The sequence below is a fragment of the Homo sapiens genome, chromosome 5, assembly GCF_000001405.40.
Source record: "Homo sapiens chromosome 5, GRCh38.p14 Primary Assembly".
Taxonomy (NCBI): Eukaryota; Metazoa; Chordata; class Mammalia; order Primates; family Hominidae; genus Homo; species Homo sapiens.
The window spans coordinates 143,234,387-143,245,426 of NC_000005.10; the positions used below are offsets into that span (position 1 = coordinate 143,234,387).

An 11,040-nucleotide genomic window follows, 5' to 3' on the forward strand; every position below is an offset into this window, starting at 1 on the left:
TACTCTTGACGCTCTTAATTCCCGTACTATTCTCACTCTGGGAACGATCTCAGAAGCTCCACTCCCCAAACGTCCTTCACTTCTTTCACCCCAAGGGAATATCTTTTGTTTTGTCTGCTTGGCATCCAGTACCCATCTTTCTGGTAACAGCACCTCTGTTTTCCTTTGGGGAGCCACCCTGCCTCTCCCCTCACCTTGGGTTCCATGGGTTTGGGTGAGCTGGCATCAACCCGTGATCCAACCGTGAACCTGTGACCCTGCTCTGGCCTATGAGATCATCACATCTACCCAGCCAAAGTGATTGATTGATTCAGGAATGGGCACAGGGCCTAGTTAAGTCCCCAGTGCCAGGGCTTTGTCCTGGGGAATGGTATACAGGACACAGCAGAGGAATTCATCCTATCGGGAAAGAATAGTAAGTGCTCTTTCCCCCAGCCTCGATGTCTCCTCAGCATGAACACTGTCTGCCACTTGTCTTCGTTTAGAGGCCCAGTATAAAGGCTCCTATACTTTATGTTGACTATTTACTGAGATTTTAATAGGGTACCTCTCAGAAAAGTTGTTTCAGATAGCAAGCAGAAGATGTGAAATATTCATTACAATATAAAATGGACAAACAGTGTCCCACTTTGATCAATCCTGGAATGATTTCACTAAAAGAAAAATCTAGGCCAGGTGCTGTGGCTCATGCCTGTAATCCCAACACTTTGGGAGGCTGAGGTGGGAGTACTGCTTGAGCTTAAGTGTTTGAGACCAGCCTGGGCAAGATGGTGAGACCTCCATCTCTGCAAAAAAATGTAAAAATTAGCCGAGCACAGTGGCACATGCCTGTAGTCCCAGCTTCTTGAGAAGCTGAGGCAGGAGTATCCCTTGAGCCCAGGAAGTCGAGGATACAGTGAGCCGTGATCATGTCATTGCACTCCAGCTAAGCTACAAAGTGAGACAGTCTAAAAAAAAATTAAGAAAAACAGAAAGAAAAGACTTTATGCCTTCCTCCACTCTGGAAGCAAAGCTTATTTTTAAAATACTGACTCTCGTTCTCCATTCTGGGCCAGGAAAAGCCATGACTGGATCTCATAAGAATAGGGAGGAATTGTGTCATACAGAGGCCTCTGCAAATACTTTCCCAACCACAGTTGATTCAAGTCGTCACTTGATGATTTGGCCCATCCCAGGGGTGCATCAGTGTTGAGACATTTCACCCTGGAGTTCTTACAAAGGACCCCTCAGTCAGTTGTAATAAAGAATGGCAATAAATCATGCCCAGATCATGACATGGAATTGGATGGCATAAAGTGCTCCTCAGTTCAGAAAGATGTTCACACACCTTGGAGGCCGCACCCAAACCTGTTCAACCATCCCACAAGCATGAGTCTGAGACACTCTGGGGGCACCCAGTTCAGACCTTCACCTTCACTGAGGTGGGACAGCTTCGTTGGAGGCCCTGAAAGGGGTTAGGTATGTCTAATCTCAGATACCCTGCTGCTGCTCTTCCTCCATGCCGTGCTCACATTTTTCTTGTTTCAAGGACTGCCAGATAAAGGGATTCCAAATCTTTTTTCTTTTCCTTTTTTTCTTTCTTTTTTTTTTTTTTTTGATACAAAGTCTCGCGCTGTTGCTCAGGCTGGAATCTCGGCTCACTGCAACCTCCGCCTCCCAGGTCCCAGTTCAAGCAATTCTCCCACCTCAGCCTCCTAAGGAGCTGGAATTACAGGCACGCACCACCACACCCGACTAATTTTTGTATTTTTAGTAGAGATGGGATTTCACCATGTTGGTTAGGCTGGTCTCGAACTCCTGATCTCGTGATCCATCCGCCTCGGCCTCCCAAAGTGCTGGGATTACAGGCGTGAGCCACCGCTCCCAGCCAGGGATTCCAAATCTTGCAGGAACACCTTCACTGGCAAGGAGGGCACTCCTGGCCCACAAGAGATAATACATTCACTTAAGTACAGCACTTCAAAATGTTCAAGGGATTTTTTTCTGCTCCAAATTTTGATCATGGCACACCTCTGATCAAAAAATTTCAGAAGCTCCTTGTGGCCTGGAAAGGAAGGAAGGAGGGAACAAAAGAGGGAAAAAAAGAGAGAGAGAGAATCCTTGCTCCTTAGCATAGCATTCAAGGTTTTTCCAAGTATGGCCCCAACCTCTTCTCCAATGCCCCTGCATGCAACTCATGTCCCAGAAGCACCGACTCTTCATCATATTACAACCGCCTGAAGCAACATCCATCTATCCATTCCTTCATTCTATTATTTATTGGGTCCTTACTTGTATCCACACCCAAGGCTAGGAACTGTCTCCCACTTGTGTTCCTGAGGTTCACATGCCCTCCACTTCTCCCACCACAAGGAAATATCTGTTGTTTTTGCCTGTGTAGCATCCGTTACTCTTTCTTCTGGTAACAGCATCTGTTTTCCTTCACGGAGGTCCCCCCCTACCCCTCAGATCCCATGGGTTTAGGTGGCAACAATGATTTATTTATGAACCCAGTCTGGCCTATGAGATCATCAAGTCCACTGAACTAGAGTGATTGGTTGATTCAGGAATGAACCTAAGATCTAATTAAGTCCAGGGAGAATCAACATTCTAGATTTTTTAGAGAGGTAGTGGTGAGAGACTTGGTCTGCTAGATTTGGAGCCATGAGGACTGCTGGTGGCTATCTTGTCCCCTCAATGAAGGAGGCTGCCTGAGATCTGGGTGGCTTAAGAGCAGTGCTGAGAGAGACAAAGAATAGCAGCACCCATGCCATTGGGCCAGATGCACCTGAGCTTTTCCACTACATCAGCCAATAAATTCTCATTTTGCTCAAAGCAATCTGAATTGGGTTCTTTCACTTACAATAGAAATCCTCAGCTCTAGATAAACTCAAGGGTGATTTCTGCACCAGCCCTCTGTCCCACTTGATTGTCTGCTCCTCTGTGAGGAGACAGAGAACCTGACATCAAGTGTGATTCTATGGGATCTTGAGGTAATCGCTCCTCTTCTTTGAGTATCAGTTTACTCATCTTTAAAATGGACATAAGAACACTTCCCTTCTAAGGCTGTATGGATTAAATGACATCTATTAATGTGCTTTATAAAGTTCATTGCCCTCAAGTCAATAATATAGTATCACAATATGGATTGTTTTTTTCAATTTGTGGAAGGAGTTGGCAATGTCTTGATGTTTCCTAAATTGTTGCAGAGCCATTACTGCATTCAGCCTGCCAGTCTTGGGAGTCACCTGGGGCTCTATGGGTTCTGCCCATTACCACTGTAAAGGAGAACCCTACATATCAGGTGTCATCCATTTCTCCCCACTTGTTTCCCTGGCCATGGCCGAAAGGACTAGACACGAGTAGACACCTGATGGGGTCCGGATCTGTGTCCCTGCCCAAATTTCACATTGAACTGTAATCCCCAGTGTTGGAGGAGGGGCCTCGTGGGAGGCAGTTAGATCCTGGGTGTGGAATTGGAGGAGGGGCCTCGTGGGAGGCGGTTAGATCCTGGGTGTGGAATTGGAGGAGGGGCCTCGTGGGAGGCGGTTAGATCCTGGGTGTGGAATTCTCATGAATGGTTTAGCATCGTTCCCCCTTGGTCTGTACAGCGAATGAGTTCTCAGGAGATCTGGTTGTTTAAAAACATGTAGCACCTCCCATCTCTCTCTCTTCTCCTGTTCTGGCCTTGTCAGATGTGCCTGCTTCTCCCTCAACTTCTGCCATGATAGAAAGTTTCCTAAGGCCTCCCTAGCAGCCATCATGCTTCCTATACAGCCTGTGGAACCTTGAGCTAATTAAACCTCTTTTCTTTATAAATTACTCAGTCTCAGGTATTCATTTACAGCAGTGCAAGAATTAATACAACACCCAAGCCAGAGGCCATCAAAATGCCAGTGGTCTGGCTTAAACACATGATGCAGGCCAATCAGATTTTTGCTCCTGTGAGTTTGACCTTTGAGGGAAGCTGTCCTTAGAGATGGGTGCATGAGATGAGAGCTCCTGATATCCAGCTAGGACTGGTGGTCATGTTGCACTGGGTACAAGTTTAAGACACAAAGAGGCCTATCTGCAGAGGCAAGAGATTGGTGCACAAAGAAAAGACCAGAACCAGAGAAAGCAAAAAGCTGCCTCAGTCCTGAACAGCTTTCTATTTTCCTAGAAGGACTGTGTTCTGTGCTCTGTTTTAGGATCCCAGATGATCCCTGTATCCTTACAATTAACACCTCATAGTATTTGGGTGAATTTGAGTGACTTCTCTTCCTTACAACCAGAAAGCCCTGTAGTAGTCTGTTCTCACGTTGCTAATAAAGACTTACCCAAGACTGGGTAATTTACAAAGGAAAGAGGTTTAATGGTTTTACAAAAGAAAGAGGTTTCATGGTTTAACTCACAGTTCCACATGGCTGGGGAGGCCTCACAATCATGGCAGAAGGCAACAAGGAGCAAGTCATGTCTTACATGGACAGTGGCAGGCAAAAAGAGAATTTGTGTGGGGAACTCCTCTTTATAAAATCATCAGATCCCATGAGACTTATTCCCTATCATGAGAATAGTATGGGAAAGACCCAATCCCATGATCCAATTACCTCCCACTGGGACCCTCCCATGACATGTGGGAATTGCGGGAGCCACAATTCAAGATGAAGTTTGGGTGGGGACACAGCCAAACCATATCAAGCCCTCTCTAGAGCCATAATAGGTCCCAAATGGCAATGGGGAAAGCCAGAGGTTCTGGCAGCCCAAGGTCAGGTAGAGAAACAGTTTTCAGCTTCTGGGCTTTTTACCCTCAGTCTGGAGCTCCAGAACTGGGGTGCCCACCCTGAGGTTTCACACCAGGAGAGAGAAGGAGTGTGGATATTGTGCCCCCTCCCTTTCCTGCTAGGGTTGGGAAAAACAGGTTTAGAAACTTGCAGGAGTTGGGCTGGCCACTAATTTCCACAAACTACCTTAATGTCTTATTGTTATTAACATTAGCCATTGCTCTTAAAACACACACACACAGCAAGGATGTTGCAGGGAGAGCCAAATAGAAATGACAACTTCTTACTCCCTCAGCCTACTTTAAGCTCTTTCCTTTGGTAATACCTGGAATGGTTTTCAATTAAGGGCAAACCTGAGGGCCCTGAGGACTGTGAACAATCTCAAGCCCTCTGCCACATTGCTCCTCTCAAATGCCAGGGGAAAAAGGTTGAAAATCTTGAGAGGCAGGGACGGTGATTTTCTTTCCTTGGAGGCCTAAGCTGACCATGTGGCACTGGCCCCATTCATCCGCTGTGCGGCAGAGTAAGTTCTGCTTCTCTGCCCCATCCCTGTGGTAGCCCCAGCTGAAGCTGATGAATCTTATACTTAGAGTCCCTGGTGTGCTGGAACTGGCTCATCTCAGGTCACCAGAGCCAGCTTGAAACTGGCTATGGTGGGAGTTATTTATACCACCAAAATCAGCAAGTGCTACAAATCAGCCCTCCACCACCACCCCCACCCCCACCCCCGCCCCCGCCCCAGCCCGTTTTTAAACACCTCCTAGCACACCACTGCTTAGTCTACTTGGGTGTTAATATGATAGATGACACCTGAACTTGGCTCCATACAGCCTAGACTGGTTTCCACCTAAGTGAGGGTGGGCATGTGGGAACGGGGGTGGGGTGGGTGTAGAACTAGAGAGGTGCAGAGTCACCTTTCCCAAGAGCAGGCAGTACTCTGCCCTGTGAATCAACAGCTGGGTTTTGTTTATTTGCACTGGTTTTCACCAGATCTAGAAAAAGGAGTTTGTTCCCCACCTCCCTCAAACAAGCTTCTTAAAACTTGCTTAGAGCTGCCAAGACCTCTGTACAAGTCCTGTGCATCAGAGTACTTAGGCAGTGATGCCTTCCCTCTGCTGCTCCATTTGCTGCAGGAGGGAGGTGGGAGCTCCGTGAGACGGAAGCCACCACAAGTTCATTCTCCAAGGTCAGTGGAACTGTCACTAACCATTCCAGGTCTGGTTGCCTCACTTGGGGAACCACAGAATTACTCTTTCCATTGGTAACTGCTGAGGGCAAGAGGCCCAGAGGTTGGCATTGCCAGTATACAGCCAGCTGTGAGACCCCAGGAACCAGGCTTGGTCAGAGGCCCCACCACCTCCGAGCTCACTTAGTGACTGACTTTTAGCGTCCTCTGGGAAGCTTACTGAAACCAAAGATCCTGACTTGGTGTACATGGGATGAGGCCCCAAATTCTGCAGTGTGTGTGTGTGTGTGTGTGATGAGATCTCACTATGTTGTCTGTGCTGGCCTTGACCATATTCTGTGTTTTTGATGACACTTGGGATGATTATGAGGCTGGTGACCCTCAAAACTCATTTTAGGGTCAAATCCAGACATGACTGATGCTTTAATAGACACATTTCTTTTTTTATTAAATATTAAGCTTTTCTGGGTTCTGTGTATGCTGTTGTTAGCAACTTTCCTTGTGCCACAGATGTATGAATAAGAAGCTTCTTCACTGTGTCTTGATTAACATAAGCATAATATGGAAAAATCCATATTTAGGTAGATCATAAATTGGTAGCTATATGATGAAAGACCTCACCAAACTTTTCCTTTAAATACTGGAATGAACTCACTTACTTTAAAAGATTAGATTTTCAGTAACCCAATTGCCAGAAACTATTTCAAGCACGCAGGGATTCTGACAGGATCTAAATCGACACACCTTCCTAACTTTAGTGCTGATTAGAGTCAGGGAGGCTTTTGGCCAAAGCAGAAATCACTACAAATACAGGCTGTCAGTGACAAAGCCACGGTTTCTCCTTCACCTCCTCTGTCCTGAATAGATTTGAGTAAGTGGCAAAAAAGAATATAGGCTTAAGTATCCCATCTGCAAAAGAAAAATATCTTAAAGGGGCAATGTGTTCTGGAAAAAATCATGGGATTTCGAGTGGGCCTTTGAATTCTCATCATAGCTTTTCTGACAGGTTATTTATCCTGTCTGAGTCTTTCTCATTTTAAAATGGCGCAGGGAGGTGCCGGGCGCGGTAGCTCACACCTGTAATCCCAACACTTTGGGAAGCCAAGGCAGGTGGATCACTTGAGGTCAGGAGTTTGAGGCCAGCCTAACCAACATGGTGAAACCCCATCTCTAGTAAAAAATATGAAAAAATTAGCCAGCTGTAGTGGCGCACATCCGTAATCCCAGCTACTCATGTGGCTGAGGCAGGAGAACCACTTGAACCTGGGAGGCGGAAGTTGCAGTGAGCCCAGATCGCACCACTGCACTCCAGTCTGGGCAACAGAGGGAGACTCAGTCTCAAAAAAAAAAAAAAAAAAAAAAAAAAAGGTGTGTGGCAGGGGAGAGGAGATAATTCCTGTGTGGCAGAAACATCAAGAGGGATCCCCACCTCATAGAGTTGTTTTGAGAATTGAATGATTTAAATTTGATCGCTAATGAATTAAATGAAATAATTGTGTCTGGCAAACATTTGGGACAATTGAGTATCAAAATACATACATTAAAGAATTCCAACAGACATGAGTGATGCTTTAATGACACATATCTTTTTTTATTAAGTATTGAGGTTTTCTGAATAAGAATTCATGAGTCCATGCTGATATAAATAAGTAAGGCATACAAGAAAGTTCTTCCTTATGGTTGAAAGCCAATTAATAACTGTAGAAGGAATGACAGAATTAGAATATCACCATTTGGCAACCATAATAATAAGTATATGAGTCATCAAGAATTATCAATGAATGATTCACATAGGATATTTACACAGTTTCAAAGTATCTCCTCACAAGAGACTTATTAATCACAAGGGATAAAACAGTAGCTGTACGGTAGAGAAACCTAACAGACACCAACTTTAAATGGGTCTAACTGACAGCATGTCCCTCCTATGAGGCATTGAGAAGAACTGAAAAAATCCTGGAAAAAAAAAAACCCCATATAACCTGAATCTCACCATAAGAAAGATAGACCCAATTGAGGGGCATTCTACAAGATAACTGGGCTGTTCACTTCAAATATGTCAACGCCATGAAATAAAAAGATTCAGGAACTATTCTAGATGTCCGTGGACATGACAAGCAAATGCAACACGTAACTGGGTTTTCTTTGGCTAGAAAGGACATTATAGGAACAATTGGCAAAATCTGAGGAAGGATTATAGACTAGATAATTGTGTTCCATCAATGTTAACATTGTGATTTAGATAATTGTACTGTGGTTTTGAGAGGCAGAATTTTTAGGCAGGCTTTTAGGAAATGTACATAACTATTTAAGGGAATAGGGCATCAGGTCTCCAATTCACTCTTAAATGGTAAAAGAAAAAATTTAAAGGGAGATAGATGATAGATAAGGCAAATGTAGTAAAATGCTAACTTTTGGGGTATCTGGGTAAAGATTGTCCAGGAATTCTTCACTGTTTTAGCAACTTTTTTGTAGGTCCGATGTTATGTTTTAAAAAAGTATTCAGTACATACTGAGACCTGCTGTTTTATCTTAATGATGATAATAGAACATTGAGTCTATTGTAAGGAGTTTAGAAGCCAAAAAGAAAGCAAATACAAAACCAACACAGGGATTTGCTAGAGGGAAGTTTGGGGTTTTATAGTGCAAAATGTAACTGGCCACCAACCTTCCCTCATTCACCTTGATTTAGGTCCTCTTGGTGGCTCTGGTCCCAGGACTAGGGGCTGAGGTGGAAGGTGTGATCTTATAGGAAGCGCAGGCTTTATGAAGCATGTCCTGTGTGAAGCAGAAGCCAGTGTGCTTCACTCTGATGTTGTTTCTTAGGCTCATGCCTGGAAGGTACTGCAGGATACCGGATACTGGGTCTACCTTCCAGCCCCAGAGGACACTGTAAAAAGCCATCTCGGGCTAAAGGTTTCATCTTGGCCCTGTTTCTGTCTATTTGGAGGACATAAATATAAGAGAGTACTTTTGGCGGTACAAAGTGCCATCCACATGTGTCAGTCACATACACGTGCTGGTGGAGCCTGTGGCTAAGAGGGCAGCCTCTGGAGTCAGACAGGCTGCTTCCAAATCCCAGATATGCCACTTACCCGGTAGGCGATTTGAGGGAGATCATTTAACCTGTCTGCCCTCCACTTTCTGCATCCATAAAATGGGGATAATAACTGTAATATAGAGCAAACTAATAGGATTGGTGTTCAGTAAATGAAACAGTGCAAATGGCAGAGGCTTTATGTTCATGCATCCCAAAGTATCTTCAAGTGTAAAATAATTCTATTATGCTATCCTGAAATTACCTAGAATCAGAGCAATTGTATTAAAATTTGCTGTAACTTGTCTCATTCTCCTTGACCTGTCCTGGCCAGCCTATCTTCTGATGGCACAAATCACCAATTGCTTTTATTGTCGATTTTCTCTTGGTGCCAGTTCCTACTGGGCTTCTGGGGTGGGGCCTGGCTCCTCTCCTACCTCAAGATTCTAATTTGCTAGGAACCTTGGGACTCCTGAGATTTCTGTGCTTCTGCAGGAATTTATCCTGCTTGAGAAGCTCACCTGGAAAACGTGCGGCTGAAGATGGAAATTCAACGTTAGGCCCCAGAGCTGTGGAAGGTGTTTTCAGTTTGGCCTTCTTGCCAGGCACACTTGAGCCTGCACAAATTCTGTTCCCCACGCAGAGACAGGGAAAGAAAGCTGCCTTGCTGTTAGGACTGTAAGACTACACCCAGGATCTCAGAACAGCACTTCCCCCACCAATCTGTCCACGGTGGCCTTAGCCAAACCCGAGGAATGAAGGCTTAACGGGAATGTGTCATAAGAAAAATATTCCATTAGAGTTTTCTCTCCCAGATTCCACGCCCACATTTCTGCCTGCCTGTTGGACATCTCCAGTTAGATGACCCACAGGCACGTCCTTACCAAAACAACATGCCCAAAACGACACTTCACTCTCTCTTCCTGTCTTGGGTAGTGTCACAAGCCAACTGAAAAGCCTGGAAATCCTCCTCCCACATCTCACCCCTCCTGTTAGGAGGTCCTTTCCATTGCAAATACCAAATGGCTCAGATTCGATTCTTCCTCTTCGTGCCGCACATATTGACGTTCAGGGCTTCAAGATCTCTCGCCTGGACTATTTCAGCAGCCTCCTAACAGTCTCTCTTCTCCCAGCTCCCGCCTCTGGCTCCTCTGCATGTTAAGAGCAAAGTCGCCCCAAAGCAGGAAATGGGATTACTCTCCTATCGTGATGAAGCCTGTGTTGCCTCTCCCAGTGACTCAGGGATGGAGTGTGGACTCTTGAGTTGCCATGTAAGGGCCCAGCCCATTTCCCCAGCTTCATCTCGCCATGAACACCCCTCCCTCCAGAATCCCAAGCTGCTCACGGGTTCCCTAACTCCTCCTTAGGCATTTGCTGGTGAGCCTTTGAACAAAATCTTCCCTCGGTCTGGACCTTCTCTTCTCCCCCTTTTTTAACCTGGAAGATTCCTACTTACCCTTCAAATTCAGCTGAAAAGTCACCTTCTCAGGAAAGGAAGTCTCCCTATGCCCTCTTCTTTCCTCCCAGAGCAAGTTTTCAGTGCCTTTTGCATCATAATCTATTAGTTCATCTTGTGGTTGTTGGTTTATATATTTACACTAAATGCTTTTCAAGATCAGGGATTCTGCCCTGTTCACTTCTGTACTCCCAGGTGGACATGGTGTTTCTTCAGGAAAGAGTGCTTGGGTGGGTGTGTATATAATGCACCAACAATGCCACAGAGCAGCCCTGATATGGTTTGGCCATGTCCCAACCCAAATCTCATCTTGAATTGTAGCTCCCATAATCCATCCCCACATGTTGTGGGAAGGACCTGGTGGGAAGTAAGTGAATCATGGCGGCAGGTTTTTCCCATGTTGTTCTTGTGATCGTGAATACATTTCACAAGATCTGATGGTTTTATAAATGGGAGTTCCCCCACACATGCTCTCTTGCCTGAAGCCATGTAAGATGTGCCTTTGCTCCTTCTTCACCTTCTGCCATCATTGTGAGGCCTCCCCAGCCATGTGAAACTATAAGTGCATTAAACCTCTTTTTCCTTATAAATTACCCAGTCTCTGGTATGTCTGTATTAG

General features: G+C 45.3%; 1 long non-coding RNA gene across 1 annotated transcript; it reads right to left on the reverse strand.

Annotated features, from left to right (window-relative positions):
• Window positions 1–7,495: 7,495 nt before the first annotated feature.
• LOC124901100 (uncharacterized) lies at window positions 7,496–10,696 on the reverse strand. Its single transcript, XR_007058982.1, has 2 exons — window positions 8,611–10,696; window positions 7,496–7,626 (listed from the first exon to the last, which is right to left on the reverse strand). It is a non-coding gene; the product is annotated as an uncharacterized LOC124901100 (long non-coding RNA).
• Window positions 10,697–11,040: the final 344 nt, after the last annotated feature.